Raw genomic sequence first — 24233 nt, forward strand, 5'->3', positions numbered from 1 at the left:
TGTCAATGGGACTTTTTGGCAGCTTCCATCTTTTGGCTGCTGTGATGAACATGGGTGTGCAAATATCTGCTCGAGTCCCTGTTTTTAATTCTTTTGGGTGTATACCCAAAAGTGGAATTGCTGAATCATCTGATAACTGTATGTTGAATATTTTGAGAAATTGCCATGCTGTTTTCCATAGTGGCTGAGCCACTTTACGTTCCCACCAACAGTGCACAAGGATTCTAATTTCTCCACATCTTCTTGTTACTTTCTGGTTGTTGTTGTTTGGTTTTTGTTTTTAATAGTGGCTATCCTAGTGGTTGGCAAATATTTAAAAATGAAGATATTTTACATAATGATTCAGATCTCTGGCTTTCACTTTACAAAATAAGAAACCCTGCCACTTCTGCATAACATAAACCTGCTGGGCCAAGGCAGTGGCCTGCACTGAAATGGGGCACAGGCTTTCCGGTTAGCTGCCGAGCACACTGACCTCCTCCACTCCTGACCTCACCTCTCCAGGCATTTGAACTTGTGAGTCTGGGGGAGGGGGACCAGAATGCCCACTCCCTGCTCGCCATCATCCTGGAGGGTCTTCATGAACATACTCCAGTAGTCACAGGACTGGACAGGAGTCAGAAATCTTGAGCTGTCTGTCATTCCACCTCTGTGAGTTTGGGCAAATCACTTCACCTCTTCCTTACTGCAAAATGGAGTCCTGCCATCTTTGCTGTGCAGCTCCCAGGAATTCTGTTGTAATGGAGACAGGCAGCGGAAGTGGAAGCTCTTCATAAACTGTTGACTGAAAATAAAGGATAGGCTGCTTGTTGTGATGAATGAATGGGTGGGACCTGTGCAGGTGGGTGCTGCTGAGAGAGGGGTGTCTGCCTGCACCACTTGGGCCGCGGCCTCCAGCCCACCTTCTAACAGGGCACCTGAAAATGGTTGTTGACAAGCATAAGCTCAGCTTCTGGGCAAATGCCCCTAATGTTTGCCTTCAGATCTATTGAGAAACCACCTATCAGGCAGGAATGCAGGTGCAGGAGGCTCCCTGAGGCCTTTGTCAACAGGCCCTTTGGTCCTGCACATAGATAGGCCTGGCCTTACGGGATTGGGCATCTGCGTGTGGCCCATCCTGTCGAGGGGGAGCAGGCTGGGTGTCTGCCCGTCTACCCTAGCTTTTTTCTGTGTGAGTTCAGCAGCAATTGCCCTCTAACCATTTCTGTTGAACTCCCTCTCTTGGGAACTTCGCTTTGTCATTTAAAATAGTTTGGGAACTTCAGATTTAGCCCAGTGTCAGAGCAGTTTATTTGGTCTGTAGGCATTTTTGTTTTTAAAATTCATGACAAGTTCCGTGCAACATGTTTTATTATATTTTCACCACCTGTTCTACCTTGGGGGTGGTATTAAAATCTGGGACCATCCATCTATCGCTCTTTTTTTTTAAGTTTCCTTATTTGCCATTTATATGTGTCTTGCAAACACACACATGCACACACAATGTGAATTTAAATATAGAAGGATAGATATACAAATACATACATATTTAATATATATAAATAAATATCTGTATTCCCCTCTCTCCTCTTGTTGCTTGATTGGCTTTAAACTGTGGTTGTAATGTTGAAGGTGTATGTTTGACAAGCTAATTGTGGAGTTTTAAATGATAAATTTGTAAAACAAATAAATACTTAGAAAATCCTTTGCCAGTGTGAAGTGCTATCTCTGTGAACATTAATAGCGAAAAAATTATCACAATATCTAATCCTCTAACGAAAAAGCATTTGAAAACTTTACAGCTTCTTTCAGCTTCCACTGAGGTCAAAAAGGAGGGGTAGCATGCCCATTTTTACAGATGGAAAAATCAAGTCTTTACACAGATATTTAAGAAGGGTAGCTGGAGGGCCAGTGTTGGAATTGGGGGCCCATCCTTAAATCCTGACATCCATACAACTATCTGTTCATTTCTCTATGTTAATTAGGACAAGGGACCAGGACATATTTAGAGCACTACGTGCTATTTCCTTTCTCTAAAAATCCAAGTACGGCACGATGCATTTGGGTTTAATGATGTTCTTATTTCAGCCCTTGGATCCAGCTGTTCCTGAAGCCTACATTTTTCAGTTATGTATGTCAATAAACTACTTTTGGGTTTCTTTTACATGAAATAAAAAATAAAAAATCAGAACAAAACAACAAAAAAAGAAAACCCATCCATAAGTAACCTATGCTGCCAGAATTAAGGTTTACAACATATTATGTATTTGACAATTTAAAAAAATGGGAGGGGGCATATTATCATCTCCATTTCTTAACAGATATAAAACCAGATATCCATACAGAATATCCTATTGCTTATAAAAGCAGGCCAACAAGTATTTAGGGCTCAAAAGCAAGCTTCTCTTAGAAGAAATAAAAAAGTAGCCTATTGCACCTTCCCATAATATCATTGGAAAATATGTATCTGGATCTTTAACACGATGCCCTATCACATCCTCTTTGCTGATAATTTCAAGAAGGATCTGTTTGTGGCATTTAGACAGTGAATTTCCCTTTATCGCCACCGAAACCAGAAGCTTCCCAAGGGCAGTGAGGGAGACCTCTGTATCCTTTGAAGGCTCCTGCTTTTCTTGTTTCATAGAGAGGTAATCTGTAGTATTCCTGACTGGTAATATAGGGAATAAGAGTGGCATGTATAAGTAGAATTTGCAGAATAACATCCTGGAGCAAACATAAAGCCAGGATCTTGTAATGGTTAAGAGCATGGGCCTTGGTGTCATGTGAACCTAACTGAAGCAAGTTATTTGACCACCTCATGTATCAATTTCTCTATTTATAAATGCTAATACTATGGTTGATAGTAAATGCTCAATAAATGATAGTTATCCTATTATTTCACAAAAGTTCAATCAAATAAATCTGGATCAGTGAGATTCACAGTGTTCATTAGTATATTTAAAGAATTGAAGACGTCCTCCACTAAAGCAAACTGATAACTTTTATTTATCCCAGTGTTTTCAAATCTCACTTAACATACAATACTTTTCTCTTAGGCTATTTTTCTGCAGAACTAAGGTCCAATGGAACACACTTTGAGAAACCCCAGGGGTTGTACCCTGTAGTAATTGAGGGGGATTCATTAGGCCACCACTAGGGGGTGCGCCAGCCAAGTTTTCTGATTCTCGGTGAGAAAAGAGGGTTTGCTCTGGGCTTCCAAAGAATAGAGGTTTTGAAAGCTTCAGTGGAGAGGGAGGGCATGCCAGGAGAGACCAAAATTCCAAAATGGCAATGACTTTGAGAAGCAAGGGAAGAAAAGAGACGTGATCACACCACGTGGAAAGGTGGTAGAAGTTTTCCTGCCCTTTCTGTTGAGATGTACAAATGGCTGACCTTCGGATAATGAATCACTAGAGATCCCAGAATGGCTGGAATGAGAAATGTGGCCTGAAGACCAGGTCAGGACTAGGCTGGGGACAGAAAGGGAAGGGCCTGCAACACACCTCCAGAGGCCTCTGGGAGGGGGGCCTTGGCCCTGGACCTCCAGGAACGTGTGTGATGGGGAGGGAAAATTTAAAAGGCGAACAGTTTCCAGGATTTTTGGTTTCTACGTCTCATATATTTACTACTACAACGACAACAACTATTACTACACACACACATATACACACATACATACACACACATACATACACATACACACACATACACATACATACACACGTACACACATACACACACATACACACATACACACATCTACGCATATATAAACACATATACTTATATATACACATACACATATATACACACATATACACATATATACACGCATACACACATACACATACACACATGTACATACACATATACACATATACATACATACATATTCACATACATACACATACACACATATATACACACATACACACATATACACATACATATATACACACATACATACACACATACACACATAGGCATATACACATATATACACACATACACACATATACACACATATTTAATAAATACATATTTTCTGATAAGGTTTTCTCTTAACCTCGTGCAAAGTGTGTATATCTGTTGTAAGTGAATTAAGGTGGTAGATTTCGAGGTGAATGCTGAATGCCAGATAATAAAAGTGTTCATAATAGAAAATTTGGGGGAAAACACAGAAAAGCAAAAAGAAATCACTTGCCATCGGATCCCCCACCCCCAAGAACATGTTGAGGGATGTAGGAGATTGTATAAGTAATTGGGCATTTGAGGGAGCACATATTGGTTAGGATTCTTTTGGTTATAAGTGACAGAAATCCAATTCAAAAGACCTAGGTAAAATGGTGGCTTGATTATAAGGATCTGGGGTTGTCTGTCTCATGCACCCCAAGGGCAGAAATGTGGCCAGGGCTCAGAAACAGCAAGACAGGGGGACCTATGTTTTGTCAGGACACTCCTTCTCTAACTGTTTCTTCCTTTCTGCATTTGCCTCCTCCCCGCTCTACTTTTATGGATTGGCTGCTGGGGGGTCTCTGGCCCAGAGGGCCAGACACATGGGCCCACAGCTGCAACTACTAGGCATGCTGTCCTATCGTTTCTGCTGCTGGAAAGAGAAAGACTCCCTCAGTTCCAATTCCAGAATTACTGGGGAAGGAGAGAATTGTCCTGGCTTGGGTCAGATGTCCACCCTGGACCAATCAGCTGTGGCCAGGGGCCAGCCATATTGTGTATAATGGCTCTTCTCGTGACAACTGTGTGTGTGTGTGTGTGTGTGTGTGTGTGTGTGTGTGTGTGTGTGTAAAGTTTCCAGAAAAGCTGGAAACAAGGACAGAGAAAGTAGATACTGGCAGACAAAACAATATCTAGTACTGTATATGTTTTCCATATTTGTATAACTGAGATTAAACTGTATGTAAATGAATCTTGTTTTTAACTAAATGTTATGTCATTAGCATTTCCCTAGTCCCTAAAATCTTTGTAAATTGCATTTTGAATTATTGCATTGTATTCAATAATTTGGATTTACTTAGCAAATTCCCAGTTGTTAGATATTTAGGTTGTTTCTATTTTTTTTAAAATTGCATACTTAATGATGTTGAGGTGTTAAAAAATTTCAGCTATCATGAGTAATGCGATGGTAGAAGACAGTTTTCCTCATTTCATGCAAGAATTAGGTACATTATTGAGAATTAAAAAAAAAAAAGATATGGTCCCACAGTTCCTCATCCTATTTCAAAATTGATGCAAACCGTTCCTCCGATTTTGCCTCCTGCTCTGCTTCTCTTTCCCTTTCTATCCTTCTCTAACTGGAAATGGCAGTAGGAGTTGATGGTTGTGCAGTGCAGAGAGTGGGCAGACAGACAATTAGGGGGTCCCCTGGGGCTCCAGGTTTGCCTTGTCTCTGCCTATTTTCTTTCTGGAAATAGATCTAGGTAGAGTGAACCATACAAGTAAACCCTGCTACTTTGTAACAATCAACACCCCCAAAGTTAGGCATCTCAGGAATGAGGCTCTCTTCAGATGAAGCTGGAGGAAGTAGTGCGAGATAATACAGGACTGGAGACAATCAGGGAGAAGAAGAATGAGGTGGAGGGCTTGTGGTCGGGGGGACCTCAGCAAAGGTTGGCTTCTCAATCTGTGTAACATTCCTGACCACCTTGCACTGGGGACCAAGTAAGAGTCGCCAAACCACTAATCTGCCACATTCTCCTCTGGGAAGGTAAGTCTGGGAAGGCCCGTCTTGGGATGTTGGTGGTTTGCAACATCCTGTGACTTTTCCCAAGTTGGAGTTAAACATTTGCTCAGGCTGAAATGTGCTTTAAAGGCTCTGAGACTTCCTGAACGTGGGGGTCATTGGATGTTTTCTAGTGGAGAGCAAATTCCTGAATGCGATAACCTTTTCTCCTTAGCTGCAGGGAGTTTAGACTTTTTGAAGGAAGTTCCGTTGAAATTCACAAGAGAGGGAAGGAAAGTAAAAATCATGACCTACTCTGTGCTGCATGCTTCCCATCGATTTGATCTTTCTGAGGTCTGAACTGGGAGTACCCTAAACAGTTCTCTCTGTGTCAGATTCACTGGTCATTTAGAGCTGCTCTATTGTTTCAGGTGTTCTGTGTTTTGAGGAGAAGGTGCAGAATGTCCTTTGTCATTGTTTTTCTGCATTTTCTAACACTTTCTATTTGTGGAATACTATGGTTTTTATTAGATATTCCAGTTCCTTCTGTCCTGGAGTGGCTCCAACTGATGTTTTATCATCCTTATTTGTTTTGAATAATAATAAGTGAATAATAATACTAAATGCCATGACTCCAGGAGGTGGAACATTTCTCAAGCTGGAGCTGTATTTAATTTTGTTTTGGAAACTGCTAAAATCATTCAATACGACAAGGCTAAGAGGTGCTACATGTCTGATTGGGGGTGGGAAAATAGGAAATAAAAATATTCCTGCTCAGTTTGGGAGGAAGAGAACTGGCAGCTGAATATGTTTCTTACCTTCATGGGGAAGCCCTACCTCTGAGCTTGACAGCATCTTGACAAACCTTGAATAAATAGGAAAATCCTACACATTGGGACTTTAGTCCTAAAACTTGGCATTTGGGGATAACAATTTATACTTTGACACGATATAGGGAAGAAGGATTTGGCAAGTAAAGAATAATGCAAATAGCAGGAGCAAGGTTTAAGCCCCTTGAGAGACCTATTTCCCCAGCTCCTGTTAGGGCAGCTCTGAGGGCCCTCCACCCAGCAACCTTGCTTAATGGAGGCATTGCCATCTGAGGAACTGAGGTACGCTGTTGTAAGCTGATAATTGCAGTACCTACCAGACAACCACAACTGTGACTTTCTCCTAATTTAACTCTCCCTCTAAGTGTGAAACTGTAGTTAGTAAAATAAAAATAGAGTTCTAGAATAACTGGCTTTGTTCAAGGAATTATGCCATGTGACTTTGCCTTTTTGTTCTGTTTCCCCATCTGTAAAGAGGGGATGATAATGGGTCCTCCTTATGGGACTGGTGGGAGGATTAATTCAACTCATTGGTTAGAAAAATGCCTGGCATGAAGTGAGTGATCAATAAATACATTTAGTTATTTGTTTTGGGATGGTCATGTACATAGCCTTTGCTTGCTAAATTGCATTCGTGTTTTTCTCGTCTTGATATAAGCTTGTGCTCCCTGAGCAGAGGGCAGGGAAAGTGGGGAGAGAAAGTTTGGAAATGTGTTGAAAAGGAAAGAGGAAACTGATGTTTACTGAACCCAAACTATGTAGCAGGTACTGCCCCACCATTATTTTATTTAATAAATAAATGATGGATACACATATCCATATTTTATATATCCATATTTATTCATTCGTGAAATGAATGCGTGAGAATAAAGGCCAGAATATTTTGTTTCCTTTAGAGCTGAGAAGAAGTGAAGAATCCTGCCAAGCAAGAGCAGTATGTGCATAAGAGAACGAGGCCCTAGCCCAACATGCCCTTCCTCCGACATCCATCCAAGGCACACCTCACAGGTCACCTGCCATGTTCATTCTGGAGAAAACACAGCTTGGTGAGTGATTTATGCTGGGATCTGACAGAGATCCTAGGCCAGGCTACCCTAGACAGGGTGGCTCATCAAGAGAAGGCTGAGGGGGAGAGAGTTCCCTGCTAGGGTCCTAGGGGAGAAGTGTGGCAGTGGCCAACCCCCAGGTTCTCGGCAAGGGTTGGGTGGTTGTTTTCAGATGGTCCTATTGTTGTCTAACTTCAGGCAAGACCCTTGACCTTTCTGAGCCCTGCTTTCATTCTCTGTGAAATGGGAATGAGAACACCTACCTTACAGGACTGTTAAAGGCCTGGTACGTGTGGATCTTCAATTGTTATAGATTGAATTCTGTCTCTCCCAAATTCATATGATGAAGTCCTAATCCCCGGTACCTTTAATGTGACCTTATTTGGAAATAGAGTCATTACAGATATAATTAGTTAAGATGAGGTCACATTGGAGGGTAGGCCCCTAATCCAATGTGATCCATATCCTTATAAAAATGGGAAAATTGGAGACAGATACACAGGGAGGGTGCCATGTGAAGATGAAAGCAGAGATTGAAGTGATGTGACTACAAGCCAAGGAATGCCAAAGATCGCCAGCAAACCAGAAGCTTGGGGAGAGGCCTGGAACAGATTCCGCCTTAGCCCCAAGAAGGAACTCATGCTGCTGACACCATGATCATGGACTTCCAGCCTCCAGAACTGTGAGATAATAAGTATCTGTTGTTTGAACCTCCCAGTTTGTGGTACTTTGTTATGGCAGCTCTAGCAAACGCATACACCATTGTCATCTTTGATAACCCTGTGACTCCTCCTCTCCCTCTCTTCCTGGTGCCTTCCTCCAAGGGTATCCTGCAGGCAACTGGAGCAGCTGCTTGGAGGGATGCACAAAAGAAATGCCAAAACCACAGTGAGGTCCCGTCTCACACCAGTTACAATATCTATTGTTACAAAGTCAAAAAATAACCATTCTGGTGAGGTTGTGGAGAAAAAGGAATGCTTTCACACTCTTGGTGGGAGTGTAGATTAGTTCAGTCATTGTGGAAGATAGTGTGGCAATTCCTCAAAGACCTAAAGACAGAAATACCATTCGATCCAGTGATCCCATGACTGAGCATACACCCAAGGAATATAAATCATTCTGTTATAAAGATACATGCATGTGTATGTTTATTGCAACACTATTCTCAATAGCCAATACATGGAATCAACCTAAATGTCCATCAGTGGTAGACTGGATAAAGAAAATGTGGTATATATACACTATGAAATACTATGCAGCCGCAAAAAGGAACAAGATCATGTCCTTTGCAGCAGCCTGGATGGAGCTGGAGGCCATTATCCTCAGCAAACTGACGCAGGAGCAGAAAACCAAACGCTGTATGTTCTCACTTATAAGTGGGAGCTAAATGATGCGAACACATGGACACAGCGAGGAGAACAACACAACAATAGGGCCTACTGGAGAATGGAGGGCGGGAGGAGGGAGAGGATCAGGAAAAATAACTAATGGATACTAGGCTTAATACCTGGGCGATGAAATAATCTGTATAACAAACCCCCATGATATACATGTTTACCTGTGTAACAAACCTGCACATCCTGCACATGTACCCCTGAACTTAAAATAAAAGTTAAAAAAAAGAAATTTGCTAAAATAGTAAATATTAAGTGCCCTCACCAGACACACAGACACACAGACACACGCACGGTAACTATGTGCGGTGATAGGTGTATTGATTAATTTGTGATAATAATTATACAATGTGTATATTTATCAAATTATTACATTGTATACCTTGAAAATATATAATTTGTATTTGTCAATCATTCCTTAATGTAGCTGGAAAAGAAAAACAAAAGGAAATGTGCTGCGGGGTGAAAGGACTGGGTGCTGAGACCAGAGCAGTGATGGTTCTTCTTCCTCGTCTCAGTATTTCCGCCATCCGCAGCTCACCCTGGGCAGAGCGTCTGTCCACCTCTCTCCCTCTCATGTCTCAGGGCTCCTGTTCTAGTCCCCTTCTGCCCACATGTTCTCTTCATGCCCATCTGTGCCGTGGGGTCTTAGGGAACACCATTTCCAGCCCCAGCAAGGCGCCTGGATCCACCAAACAAGGATGCCTGGCTTGGCGGAGGGATCACAGGAAATTGTCATGACAACTCGTAGAGCTTGGGAAGTGCTTCTGCAAACTGCTTTCTTAACGATTGGCGCTCGGAACAGTCACAACTGGGCAGAGAGATACCTGGAACAGGCTGGGTTCTTGTGGGACTGGGAAGAGGGTGTGTGGCCAAGCGACGAATAACTTTAAAGAGTGACGAGCAGGAAGCAAGATAGTGGGATTCTGATTTATTTAAAATTGTGTGTGGAGGAGTGGGAGAGCAAACACCGCATCTCCTGGTGAGGCTTGGGACGAGTCCTGGAGCACAGTATTTTTCTTTCCTCCTCGCTCCTTCTTTTCTTTGCTCCCTGTCCTCTGTGCATTGCTTTCCTCTCCTCCTTAGCCGGGTGCTTATGGGGCCAACCTTATGTTGCACCTGCCGAGTCCCCCCATTAATCTGATCTAGTTCCCAACATGTGATTTAGGGGTGTTGCGTGCCCTGAATGAGAGGAGGGGGGCAGGAGAGGAGAGAGAGAGAGGCAGCGGTGGGGAGAAACCCCGTTTGATCTGCTGAAATGCACCTTAAGAGCAAACCCATCCACTTTACTGAAGGTATCAGCTGGGTCCTGCCTACAGTTATGTCAAACAAAGTGTGCTGCGAAGTGCCAACTCTCCCTTTGTGCTGTGACACCGAGAGCTGCCAAAAGATATTAAAAAGCTTGCATGAACTAGGTGATGGCAGCTGTAACTATCTAAGTTATTGCCTGGCAGCTGCAGCACTGCCTCGCTGCTGCTGGCCGCCTTTATAGTTGGTTCTCCATTTGTTTGCCCTTTCTCTAGCAACCGATAGCACCAAGCCTGCAGTGGGCGAGTCGCCGCCCCAGCCCCCTCGCGCCTGCAGGAGGGGAGACTTGCAGCGAGCTGAGCTGCATGGAGAGACACCCTCGTGCAGCTTCTGTGAGAAGTTGTGTTTTTCTTGGCTGGGCCCCAGACTGGTTTTGCATCAGTCAGCTCGACTCCAAGGAACCTTGGACGAGGGGATGGCACAGAGGCGAGTGTGCACACCCAGGCGCACACACCAAATGCCGATTTTTTTGTGTTTGTGTGTGTGGCTTTTTTCCCTTCCGTGTTGGCTCTGATTGAGCTAGAACAATATCGCCAGCTCCAAGCCCTGCCAGTCCTACATCTGCTCCCTAAAACCTCCAGCAAATAAGAATACGGTGGGGTTGTTTAACCAACACTTACAATATACACACTTTTCAGCTTTTCTCCCCCTGGGTTGCCCAGGCTCAGAGATCTGGATGCTGGTGGCAAAGGGTTGAGAGATAAGGGGCTAATGATCCCTGTGGGCATCTGTCTCCGAAGCCTCCTTCTCTGGCATGTTGATCTGTGGCATAAAATACATTTCATTGTCATGGGCTTTGGGGAAGGTGTCTGTATGGCGAGCTGGTTTTTTGTATTCTTCTGTTGAGTTTGGTCTTTTCAGCTGTCTGTTAAATAATTCATACAGCTCATGAAAGTAATATTTCTGGGATGTAGGGGGTTCCATTTTTCCAATTCCCTTTCACTCCATCTTTTTTTTTTTTTTTTTTGAAGCGGTTGTAGGGAGAACTTGGCAGGCGTGGCCTGGGTGGTATAATAAAACCTTCTGTCTTTTCCTCTCACCTCTCCAGCTCAGACTGGGAGGGCAGGAGGGGTTCCTGACCTTCAGCAGGCCAAACCAAGGTCAAGCCTGAGGTTTGAGTTTGGTTTTCATCTCAGAGTTCAGCCATCAAAGGGTGCCAAAGGCACAGGCCATTTTCATCGCTGTGCTGGACACCCGTTCGAGCCATTTTCCTGTGGGGAGGGCCTCTCCTTTCGGTATCCCTAAGTGCTTGCCTGGTGCCTAGCATGGGGCTTTGCCCCTGGTAGATAATGATGGTCTGGCAAAATGGATTGAGTTGAGGCCATTTTGGTGGAAGGCAGGACTCGGCACTCTTAACCTCTGTTATCATGGTCAAATAAATCGAATAACGGATTGGCCAGTTTTGTTTGTCTTCACGGGTTAGATTGGCATTCAGCCTTTGCCAGTGCATAAGCGAAGCCTCTTGTGGAAGAGTGAAGTCTCCTCCTTCTTGCCCCACAGAGCCTCCAAGCTGGGTCGTGTGTCCTGCTGAGTGTCGACCCCCGGCCGTCCGCTCTGTACTGTGTTTGTCTTTTCATCTGTGACCCTCCGCTACACTGAAATCCCCCCCTGAATGGGGACCAGGTCTACCTGGTTCACTGTCGATGGAATGTGAAAGGATATTTTCAAAATTAAAACAGGCTTTCATGGAGTCATGTGCAACCTTCCTGAAAGTCTGAGGTGAGAGGGGCATTTCCTTGGAGCCCTCCCATCCCACCAGAAGCCCCCTTTACCTTGGATCTCCACAGCCCTCGAGGGGCTCTTTGGGAGTTCTGTGCCCAGGCAACATGACCTGCGTGAGGCCCTTCCCTTGAAAGTAGACCTTTGGGATGACTGCCCATTTGCTGGTTGTGTGCTCCAGGGCAAGAATTTCATATCCGCATCTGTAAACTCTACACCCACTTCAAAGAATTAATTGGGAGGTATTATGGACTAAATATTTGTGTCCCCCACCCCAAATTCATATTTTGAAGTCCAAGCCTTCAGTATGACTGTATTTGGAGACCGGGCCTCTAAGGAAGGAATTAAGGTGAAATGCAGTCTTATGGATGGGGCCCTGATCTGATGGTATTAGTGTCCCTATAAGAAGAGACACCAGAACACTCCTCCCCACCCCCACCCCTACCCTTCCCTGCATGCACACGCACACAGGGAAAGGCCACCTGAGGACACAGTGAGAAGGTGACTGTCTGCAAGCCAGAAAGACAGCCCTCTTGGGAAACTGAGTCAACTGGCACCTTGATCTTGGACTTCCCAGCCTCTAGAACTATGAGAAATAAATGTCTTTTGTTGAAGCTGCCCAGTCTATGGTATTTTGTTATGAAGACTAAGCTGAGACAGGGGAATTAATCCATATAAAAATATAAATCTTGACCAGGCGTGGTGGCTCACGCCTGTAATCCCAGCTCTTTTGGAGGCCAAGGCAGGTGGATCATGAAGTCAGGAGATTGAGACCATCCTGGCTAACACGGTGAAACCCTGTCTCTACTAAAAATACAAAAAATTAGCTGGGTGTGGTGGCGGGTGCCTGTAGTCCCAGCTACTAGGGAGGCTGAGGCAGGAGAATGGCGTGAACCCAGGAGGTGGAGCTTGCCGTGAGCTGAGACCATGCCACTGCACTCCAGCCTGAGTGACAGAGCGAGACTCCATCTCAAAAAAAAATATATATATATATATAAATCTCAGCATGGTGTTTGGCACATAGTAAAGAAAATCATGAAGGTTTGACATTTTTCTTGAGTATCTGTGGTCTGGGAGGTCAAGGGGATGTGGCCAGGAGGAAGAGGGGTGAGAGACTGAGGAGCCTCCAGGTCTGTGATGGGGAAGAGCCAAGATGTCTTTAGATGAATCTTGGCAGACTATGGAGGAGGTGCAGTGGTCGGAGGCTTGCATGATGGTTAGGAGGTCTGTGGAGGGCAGAGGTGAACTGAAGCCACCACGGGAAGGTGTCGAGGGCAGGAGGGGATGGTGATTTATCGAAGGCCGACTGTCACCAGGTCTTTGCCTAGAGCTTCACACAGATGCCCCTGCCTGGCTCTCCACTTTCCCTCCCCCAGGAGGCCACCCCATCTCCATTCTACAGACAAGGAAATGCCTTGGGTTTCAAATGAGGAGAGCTGACATTCACTTCTCACTTGCAGGTGTCCAGGTACAGGTATATTCTCACTCAGTTCGCACAACTACCCCACAAGGTACATTTTTTATATCATCCCCATTTCATAGGTGAGGACATTGAAGCAGAGTGCTTTTAAGTGACATGCTGAAAGTCACACAGTTAGTGATGCTGGTGCAGGGATTTTAAACCCAGGCAGGTGACTTTGGAGCCTGTGCTTAGGGTCATATGTTTTACTGCCTGGGGGGCTGAATAATGGGTCCAGATCCCACATTGCCAGACTGGGGTTTGAACTGGGTTCCACCTGGATTCCAAAACTTCCCATGATGTTATACTGCTCTGGAGTCAAGAATGTAATTCTTAATGGTGGGGTTTTGATGCAATGACAGCAGCAGTAACTTTAAAAATAGAAGATGACAGATGATGATAAGCGACTGAACATAGGAAAGAGGTGGTGTCCGGGCCCTTTAGGGGCAGGACTGTGCCTGTGTGGCAGCAAATTGGGCACAGAAGAACACAACAGTGTTTGCAGGAGAAGGTTGTGGGTTCATACTCACAACATCCTCAGGAGGTTGGTGCTATTATTATTCCCATTCTACAGGTGAGGAAACTGAGACACAGAGAGGTGAAGAAACTTGCCCAGGGCCACACAGCTAGTAATGGTAAAGCCAGGATTTGAACCAAGGTGGTCTGACTCCTGACTCCATTCTCCTAGCCATCATGCCATGCTGCCTTCAATGGAGATTTGATACTGTATGGTAACATTGACGTGGTGGAGGATGTTATAGGCAAAATAAAGAAGATGGTATTGCATTTCTCCTCACTAGCTGAGGACTTGACAGAGTGGGGATTTGTAGGATGCATATGTCCTGTGTGTCCAAGAAGCTGGTGGCATTATGGACCTATGTACTGACTTGGAGGATATTCCTCTTAGCTCCATGCTGACTAAATAGATTGCTACTGATGACAGTAGACCTCACCAGGACAGGTGCACTGAGTTGACAATTTGGGGAATTTTCCTGAGGCCTCTGTTCCACTTCCTTAGACACTACAGGGCTCTGTGTGGTGTGAACAAGCCCTTCAGTGCTGCTACTGTTCACAGGTGCTGAGCTCGACTGGTGGCCTTCCAGGAAGACAGTGCGGCTAAGAGTGGAGGCTGCTGGGATTTGAATCCACTCAGTTATTTACTGGCTGTCTAACTGTGGGCAGGTTACTAATCTCTGTGTGTCTCAGTGCTGTAGTTTGAATGTTTGTGCCCCTAAACCTCATGTTGAAGTTTGATCCTCAATGTTGGAGGTGGGGCCTGGTGGGAGGTGTTTGGGTCATGGGGGCGGATTCCTCATGAATGGCTTGGTGCTGTCCTCAAGGGAGGGAGGGAGTTCTCACTCCAGTCATTCCCTGGAGAGCTGGTTGTTAAAAAGCAACTGGCACCTTTCCACTCTCTCTTGCTTCCTCTGTCGCCATGGGATCTCTGCACATGCTGGCTCTCCTTCACTCTCCCTATGAGTGGAAGCAGCCTGAGGCTTCCCACCAGATGCCCAGTCTTCCAGCCAGCAGAATCATGAGCCAAAAAAAACCCCTCTTTTTCTTTATAAATTGCCCAGCCTCAGGTATTCCTTTATGGCAAACAAATGGACAAAGACATTCGGTTTCCTCATCTGTGCAAAGTGGGTTGTTACCGTACCTCCCTCTCAGGGCTGTGATGAGGATGAGATCGATGAAGTGCTTAGAGCCTTGCTTTGCACACAGTGCCCATATTACTGTTCTTGTTGCTGTTTGTATCGCAGTGGGGCTGGCTGTCCTGTGTTTACGGCTGACTCACCATTGCGGCTTGAAGACTTTGCAGGTCTTCCATCTACATCCAGGAGGGATGCCGCTAACTCACCTGTCCTCTTTCACACAGCCTCTTCATCACTGATGGCAGATGTTGGGGGACTCGGTAGGGATTTCGGATGCAGCAAAGTCAACTCCCTTACGTCTCCTCTATGGCTCTGTGGAGCTGAGATCTAACCAACTGAGGGATCAGTGGCTGGCTGCCATATGTCAGAGCTGAGGTCAGAGACCCTGCCTGGCCTGGTCCTTCAGTTCACCTCTGGCTCTTAATGACTGTGGAATTGCTTGTTTTCTCTGGTGTCAGAAGGTGTCCTTGTCATTTTTTTAAACCATCTCCATAGATGTTACAAGTAAAGTCATCAAGGCCTTTAGACACGATGAGAGGAAGGGATCTGAGGGCAGAGAGTCAGCTCTTGCATCTTTTTCTCTCAAACTACCTTAGTACCAACCAACTATTGCTAGAGCGCCTTTTGTGCAAGTCTTTGAGAACACAATATGGACAAGCTGGACACAGCACCAGCCCACAAAGAGCTTTCAGCCCAGTAGGGAAGACAGTTCAACAACCATGAAGAGGATCTAGAGAGTTAATCAGGGTATCCCAGACAAAGCTCTACTGAGACTTTATCTGTAGCAGGGTTGCTGGAGGGAGTTGTATCCAATATGCCAGACCGACTCATATTTGAGGGAATCTTAGGGCATTTTCTGTCTTAGTAGTAATAAGCACATTGCAAGGTTTTATAAAACCCATAGGTTTAAGGTTTTCATTTGCATTGTAATTGCCTGACTTCCAATTGCCTGTGGCCAATTTTTAGTCCCAGATTGACCTATCACCATCACTTCTGTTTTCTTAAGTCACCTGTGCAGGCTTCCTGGGGACTCCACTTTGCACATCCAACTTGTCCCATTCAACACACATTATTCATAATGAGCCTATTGTGTACCAGGCCTGGAAATTGAAAGCCTCAGTTCAAAGGACTTTACTCTCTTTTCCTGAAAAGTTGAGCATATGTTGGTTTTTGTAAATCTGATATCTAACGTACTAAGAGAGTTTACTTTTTAAAGGAACCTTCAAATTTAGTGTTTGACTTTCTGTACCTTGGGTGTTTTTAGAGTGGGGCATACATACACTCCTGTTAGCAGAAGCTAAAGAAAATTAGGAAGACAATGACATAGCATTCTAGAAATGGAGGGACCTAGGCAATTATCTGACTCAACTTCTGGATTTTTACAGATGAGGTGATTTAGACCTTGACACAAGACATGGATGTTTTTGGTGGCTGAGCTGGCAAGAGGCAGGGCCCAGGCTCATTGTCTGTTGCTCCTTCCTGTGTGCCCTGCTCCTAAACCAGTTGTCTAGTCTGTCTGGGTTATCTGTTGGTTTGCCTTATCTGTTCTGGGTTCCTAACCTCAGTGTGAGGAACTGACTCTATCATATTTCCATAAAACCAGCATAGGAGTTTTTAATCTCAGGCTGAGTTGTCCCCCCAACTGCTGGCCCTCCTGGGCCCCATTTTGGGCATTCTCCTTCCTCTTGGAGCTTGTGTGTGGAATTTCAATCCTGCTGCGACATTTGGCTACTTGAATTCACTGATCTCCAAGAGCATGCATGATGCTGACAGACCTCTCCCTCTTGTGCCCAGAAACCCCACTAAAGGAGCAAGGACAGATGCAGCCACCACTGCCCTTGGACGGGGGAAGTCATTGAACAGAAGGGCACGAAGACGTGGCACACAAAGCCTATTGTCCCTGCTGCGGCCATGCTGGGCACCTCAGTGCCTGTTCTCTTGGGCTGCTACCGCTTGAGGTGTGTGGAGCATGGGAGCTGGATAGGCATGTGGCCCTGGACGCTGCCCCAGCCAACAGCCACTCAGGTGGGGGCCTGGTGGGGGGCAGGAAAGAGCCTCCCACATTCTTCATGCAATTCTTCTTCTATTTTGCATAGCCAAGTATCGATTTTGGGAACCTGACTCTGGTTGCAAATGAAAACCTGAGGGCTTTGGTGAGGTGAGGGATGCACCAGGAACAAGAGTCTCTTTTCAGGGCAGCCCCATCTGGAGGGGAGACTTGGACTTTGGCCATCTCCTCATCACCCCTAAATTATCTCCCTCGCTGGGACCCTGTGCTAGTTCCAGGCAAGGTACAGTCACAGGGCAGGAGAAGGAGGAGGAGATCACCCTGGGAGTCACTTCCCAGGGACATCAGGAGATGCTGATCTTCAGCGGGGGCCTGTAAGATGATGACCGCCCTGGCGAGGGAGGGTTACAGAAACAGATAAAAGACAAGACCAAACAAAGAGAGTTCACTTTGGCTCCCCTGTCTTCTTTCAGATGAGGCCTGACTACCTGGGCAGTGAGAGCTAGAGTTAGGATGAAGGGGAAGGGGACTGGACTGCTTTATGCTGACTTTCTTTCTCCTTTTCATAGAGAGGGGGTTTGGGTAGGAATAGTGGGGTGACAAGAAACTTGTTGAAGAGAGCTGTGCAAACAATGGCTGGTGCATGCCAAAGCTGGCAGTCAGTGGTTCTTAATGTTTGAATGGAAGTGGCTGGAGCTAGCTTTTTTTTTTTTTCTTCCACAGTCAGTGTTGCCAAGAAAACAAGGAGTAGCTGTTTTAAGCATTTACAAATGGTAATGTACCAACAGCTGGTCTCAGTCCAACCGAGCTATTGTAGGGGTATTAAAAAGACAGGCCAGAGTTGGAGATGTACTGCCAACCTCCCTTGCAGAGTTGGGGAACATTTTACTTGGAAAAAAAGGTCTTATATTCCTGCAGAGATCGACAGGACGGTTCTCCTGTGGAGTCAGTGCCTTGCTTGGCAGAGGAGGCAGCGCGGGCAGGCCAGCCAAATGCTTGGGCGACAGGGAAGCGTGGAGTCTGCGGGCTTGCGGCGGATTTATCAGCGCAGCCATGCCACCTCCCTGCTCACAAGAGGCTCGCGTGCACATGCGTGTGGACATGGCTGTCTCGCGTCTGCATCCGCGTGCACACTGATGGCGGCTTGGGCATGGTGGCGGCAGCAGCAAGACCAGTGTCACCCCCGAGGCCCGGGCTCCAGGTCCCCATGTGCTCTGAGTCTCTGCTCTCTCCTGAACATCCGTGGCTCCCTTCCCTTTCTTTTTACCCAGGCCAAGAAGACGAAAGAGAAAATCTCACGGAAATGCTGCCCTCCTTTCCCTCTTTCCCGGTCCTCTGCCCCTCAATAGCATACAGAGGCACCCGAGCAAAGGGCAATCTGGGTTTATCTCCTGCTCTTCATCTCAGCCCTGAATCTGGGGTGTTCTTTAGGGTTTTTTTTCATCCCAGGAAATTGTAATACACAGAGCATGCTTCTTCGCTAAATGTAATTACCAGTGGCCCTGTGTTTATGGATGAGGCATGGTGGAAAGTAATAGAAAATGATTATTTTTCGTACTGAAGGCCTTCTTTATTAGTGGTGCGGTAGGGACGTCAGCTGCCTTCTCTGAATGGCAATGCAATGTTTTGCTTTCCCCAGCAAGATAAACGATCTTATTTGTTGATGTTTGCTGCTTGAGATGACATTTATGTGAAATAAAAGGGACCAAATTAATAATAAAAAAAATGATTAGCCAGACACAAATGAAAAATGTACATCTCTCCCCCACCCCAGTTAAGTTGTTTGTATTTACATGCTATTCACAAATAATGGCAAAATGCCCAATAGTTGGATGGCGAGGGTTTTTTCTTTTACAATCATATGGCTTGATTCCGTTTTCCAGATCTTGTCTGAGAGCTGCTATTTGAAATAAAAATGTTTGCATCCATTTCCTCATTAATCCTTCCGTTGTAATACAACCTGCTGCAGAGAAATGGCAAAACAGATGCAACAATGAAAATTAAAAGGGATGGACACTTATCTGGGGCTATAAAAGCTGCTAACCATGTAGGCACGAGAGAGGCTTTTGGACAGAAAATATGGCAAATGATAGAAACAATCATCGGACTAAGAGTTTGCTATTTGCAAAACTCTGGTGGGACATTTCTCTGCTTGTAACGGCTGGAGGATCACTTCTGAGTTTAGTGCACACCAGAGAGAGTGTGTGTCTGCTTTGCCTTGAGGCCTGTCTTCAATATTTGGTGCATCTACCCATCTGGTTTCTCATTGGGCTGAAATTTTCTCGACACAAACAAGCACTTTGCAAAGGATCTATAGACCTCGTGTTTTGAGGGCTCTATATTTTTGCCTGGAAATATTGCTTCCTGCCCTCCTGGGAATTACAGACCTAGAGCAAAGCTGGATTGACCTTGATCTTTATTTTGCAGCCAAATATATTATGTTCTGGGGAGGCAAAGGGTTTTATAGCATGTGTGGGGGTGAGGGGCCATAATTCCATACTTCTCAAACAACTGGATACAGAGGAAAAAGAAGGTCCAAGTGCACTTTTTTGGGTATATGTGATACCGATGTATATGATTCTAGTTTTTTTTCCCCCCATCTAATTGTCTGATGTTACCTCAAGCTTATACTCACCTCCTGAATTCACTGGGATTTGGGGTCATATGGAGATTCAGTAGTTTTGTGCATACTTACCGAGCATCACCTGTTTGCAGTCTAGGAGTAACAGAGGGAAACAGAGAAAGGCAGAAATGTGATCTTTGCCTTGAACAGCTTAAAAACTTCCTGGTAGAGACTGGACTGGAATAATTAAATACACAGAAAGACAAACAGCCAACGAGGGCCATGCATGTGGGAGTTGATGAGTGAGACGTGAGATGAGAGCATGGCTCTTGGGGGAGGTTGATTGTGGCTACATCTCCCCATGCAGTGCTGAGAGCAAGAGACCAGTACAACTTGCTGATGGATTGATCAGACCCTGACAAGTAAACTAAACAAGCAGAGGAGATGGAAGTCCGTGCATGTGGAACATTTGTTAAATGTGTCAGACCTTGGGTGACTAGCTTCTGGTTTGATTGACACATTGGAATAATTTTTTGGTCAGGGTGGGTGTACAGTTCAGACCTGTCTGGTAGGCCTAGTAGAGGAATACAGGTGGTAAAGAGGCTCTGGACATGGATCAAGTCTTGGCTCTGCCACTTACTGTTCAAACATCTTTGGCTTTAATCTTTTAGTGCCTCAGTTTTCAAATCTGTGAAATAGGTAGAATCATAGCACCTATTTTGTAATTTCACCCTAGGGATTAAATGACAGAATATATCACAGTGCCTAGCACCAAACCAAGTATGTGACCAAAAATGTTCATGCAAAGAATTATTTTTATTCTATATATCTTTTATCTTCATTTCTGCTTCTATTCCTGTCTGAGATGCAGGGCCAAATATGTGTTAATTGTCCTTAGGATCATCCTTGACAAGGAAGATACTTGTCTTTTCAGTAAAAGGGAGGCCCGCTTCCTATGATGTAGCTGAGGGCAGGAAGCTGGGCTGCATGACCTCTCATAGTTACTCTTAGCAATTTGGTTTTTGAATTTTTTGAATTCTTCTGCTTCAAAAGCCTTAGCAGGGCTTGGCCATAGGGGAGTTGTGCCTTTTGGTGAATTGGTAGGCAGGGAAGTGGTTAATTAGGCACAGCCCCCAGTACAGAAAAAGTCCCACCCATGATGTAGTTGGGAATCTGGTTCTGTTGAATCATTACACGTAGATTTTTAAAAATTTTATCAGCAGAACCGATGGTCTGCTTCTGGTGCTGTTGAAACTCACCACCACTATGCACGCAGCACTGCTCATGAACAGCTGCTGAAGAGTGTGAGTAGGGAAGGCAGGAGAAATAGTAACACAGCACCTACAGCCCGGTCTCAACTGGTAGAGGCTGGCAAACAGTGGCAGCAAAAGCACCAGGGTGGCACGATACAAGCAGAGATGGATTGGCAGGTGGGAGGAGGAGGGTCAGGGCTGGGGATACTGCTGTACTGCTTTTGTCAAGTAAAACTTAAGGGTAGATTACAGGAAAAGGAACAGAGTAATCCTTATTCCCAACTTAGATGTCAACATTATCTTGTCACACATGGAATTACAGCTTCCAAAATGTGGATGGGCATCAACTCATGAACTTCTCAAGAACAAAAGCCACATCTTATGCATCTTTGTATTTATTTCAATGCCACTTGCCTTCCCTGGCCCAGAGTTTGCTCCTGCTATATGTGATTAAATGCTTGACTATGTGAGTACTGCACATGTGTAGTGTGCCAAGGAAAACTGCTCCCACAAACTGACATTATCTTGCTGAGTTTGGATGCAATACCAACGCATGCATCTTCCAGAGCCTGGAGGAAAATTCAGGAATTCTGATTTAACTGATATTTATTTGGTCAGTTAAATCATTTCCAGAGCAAGTTTCTGTACCTAAAGTGCGGATGTTGGTGTATGAGAGGGCTAGCTGGCTCTTTCTTTTCATTTCTGGAAAGAGAAATATGTGTGAAATTCAACGACATCTGCTGAAATTCAAACATATTTTTATTTATTCATGGCCATGATCAGGGCAGAACCTCTAATTTCAACCAATAATTAGACTTGACAATAGATGTGGAAATAAAACATTTTTGCTGAATTCACTTGTCATTCCTCCCTGCTGTAGCTGGTGTAACCCAGATGTCAGCTGTCCCTTATTTTTCTCTTCGAGTGTCCCCTCCCTCAACCCCCTCATACTAATGCATTAGTGAGCCTCATGGCATTTACTGAGGGTCTCATGGGAGAGACACAAGAGAGGGCTGACATTGCATACTTCACAGTCACCCACTTAAATATCTCTTGGGATCCAAAAACAGTTTCTTGGAGGTATTGGTGCTGCCATTCCACCAAGAATCCCTTTTTCTTTCTCTTTTGGTCCACCCGGATCAATAGGTTTTAACCCTGTGTCTTTTCTCCCTTCACTCCGAAGTTCAAATTCCTCCCCTTGCTGTTATGGAGTTTTTAATCTCACTCTTAATGTATCACCATCCTGCATGCTGCTGCTCACAGGCAATTTAAAGACCTTCTGAGCAAAAAAGACCAACTATCTTTTTTTGACTTGACTAGCATTCCTTCTGGAAGGACTTGGATAATCGCCATTTTCCACGCTGATGATCCAAGCATTTGTTTATGCTTTTTGCTATTTGGTCCTTGAAATGACTATGAGATTGTCATATCTGCAGAAAGTCCTTGCTAGCCTTTTCCCTAAGGCTTCAGGGGAATGGTGAGGCAGGAGCCAGAAGGTAGGAAATGGGGAATGAATGGGATTGAGTAAGGGCAGACAATGGTTTCAGGAAGTTTGCTTGTGAAAGGGAGGAGAAGGAGGAGGACCTGGGAGTGGGATGGAAGGTCAAGAGAAGCTTGCTTAATAAAAATGGAAGATCTCAAGGCATGTTCAAACACTGATGGGGAGGAGTAAGGAGAGAGGGAGAGGCTGAGGATTAATCTCTGAGAAGGGCGAGGGCATGTGATTTAGAGCACCAGCGCAGGGATTAGCCACAGCCGAAGACAGATGTAATGGAAGGGAGGCCAAGGGACATGGAGCCGTGGACAGGTTGGCTGTGAGGCTGAGGAGGATGAAGGGGTGTACGGAGGAGGCTGGGTGACCTCATGGCAGCTTAGCTGAGTGCAGAGTCCGAAGTTCTGTCCTGGAAGGGGCAATACAGTTGGCTGTTGTCATTGCTGTTTACCATGTGGATTCCTGGAGCCTGCCTGAAAACCTGGTCTGCGAGCTCCCTGTGAACTAGCATCTTTTCCAGGGGTTTTCTGGATCCAGCTCATGCTCGTGCCAATGATTAAATCTTTAGAGAAATTTGCAAGCCAGGTATTAAACCATTAGTAGTTTGAAATCGGCCATGGCGAGGGAGTATTTATACTACAGAAATTGGAAATGGCAGCAAACTAGGGCCTTCCCACTGTGAATGCACCCCTCACACCCCCCTACCCCTCACCCCACCTCCACTGCCAGCCTCGGAATGCTGGTTGCTAGACCTTCAGCCACTCAGCACTGCTTTCAACTCTTGCTCCTTACCTCCCTCGGTTTGGTGCACTGCTCTACGCCTTATAGAGTGCATGTGATGGCTTTGCTCTTCTGTGCCTCAGCTTCCTCCTCTATCCCCAGGTCTTTGCAGCCTGGGAAGTCAGGTGGAAATGGGCCATGCCTGCAGCAGAGCATGGTCTCTGAGAGGTGTTGGATGAACATCACAGGGGGAATGGCTGTATTGGGGTGTTCGTGGGTGCTTTTCTGGAAGAAATTCTCCTCTGTGGATATGCTCTTACTCTCTCCACGCACTCGCAAGTCTAGGAAGCTTTAGCTTGTTTTCTTTCTGTACTTGCATATTGGAGGAAGAGGGATTTTCCCTGCCCTTCCCAGCTCCACGAACTGCACACACAGAAGGAAACAGTGCAGCTGCCCCTCATGCTGAGGCTCAGGGCACCATCAGTGCAGTGGCACTGTGGAACTTATTGACAGAGGGCTGGCGTGGGCTTCTAGAAACAGCTCTGTTCTTCCCAGTTCTCTAGCAGAGCGGCTGTGCCCTTTCCCACCCTCCTTCCCCTGCCGCAGCTTCCCACACCTGCTCTTGCCCTGGCTGCCATTGGCCAATAGCAGGTGTTGGGAACCCGGAACATGGAATGTCATGGGTCTGTAGTCCAGGGAGGATGGTGGAGGAATCCCAGCTTTAGAGCCCCACAGATCTGGGATTGAGTTTGGGCTCTGGTGGGTGATTTCCTGGTATTCTTGGGCAAGGTATTAAATATCCAGCTGCAGGGTTCTCCTCTGTGTAATGAAAGATTAGATGTGATCATGTTTGTAAAGAGTCTGGCGCACGGTAGGATCTCAAAGAGTGTTGGGTGAAGGGTCAGTGGGGAAGATTAATTATGAATTCAATATTGCATTTCTTCAGGAAACCTTCCTGGACTGCTGCTACTCTCCCCTACTCACTAGTCACTTGACACCTCTGACAGTGCCCCTTGTCCATCTGCTTCATTGCATGCTGACACTCAAGGCTTAACACTTTTTATGGTATAAGAAACTGGGCAGGCAGTGAGCTGGGAGCAAGAGTTAAAAGCAGTGATTTTCTGCTAACTGTC

The 24233-nt window shown here is 45.4% G+C and overlaps 1 protein-coding gene across 4 annotated transcripts in view, besides 2 other annotated features; it reads left to right on the plus strand.

Moving 5' to 3' along the window:
- Nucleotides 1-24233, plus strand: part of RPS6KC1 (ribosomal protein S6 kinase C1) — an 811495-nt gene that overhangs the window by 320110 nt on the left and 467152 nt on the right. For 2 of the 4 annotated variants that reach the window (XR_007058661.1, XR_007058662.1), the window contains one exon: nucleotides 7383-7532. Coding sequence is in view for 2 of the 4 variants with exons in the window: in XM_047417936.1 (XP_047273892.1) it covers nucleotides 7383-7388 (6 nt within the window). In the remaining 2 variants the exon portion in view is untranslated. Of the gene's footprint in view, nucleotides 1-7382; nucleotides 9159-24233 lie in introns of those variants that run through there. The other 2 variants (XM_047417936.1, XM_017001024.2) reach the window with 1 other exon arrangement.
- Nucleotides 395-921: an enhancer, noted in NCBI's record as "H3K27ac-H3K4me1 hESC enhancer chr1:213545088-213545614 (GRCh37/hg19 assembly coordinates)". NCBI's record gives its function as "activates a minimal SCP1, AML or CMV promoter by ChIP-STARR-seq in primed H9 embryonic stem cells {active_cell/tissue: H9 hESC(primed)}" and the evidence as "EXISTENCE:reporter gene assay evidence [ECO:0000049][PMID:30033119]".
- Nucleotides 922-1446: an enhancer, noted in NCBI's record as "H3K27ac-H3K4me1 hESC enhancer chr1:213545615-213546139 (GRCh37/hg19 assembly coordinates)". NCBI's record gives its function as "activates a minimal SCP1, AML or CMV promoter by ChIP-STARR-seq in primed H9 embryonic stem cells {active_cell/tissue: H9 hESC(primed)}" and the evidence as "EXISTENCE:reporter gene assay evidence [ECO:0000049][PMID:30033119]".

Source organism: Homo sapiens, chromosome 1 (genome assembly GCF_000001405.40).
Source record: "Homo sapiens chromosome 1, GRCh38.p14 Primary Assembly".
Classification (NCBI taxonomy): Eukaryota; Metazoa; Chordata; class Mammalia; order Primates; family Hominidae; genus Homo; species Homo sapiens.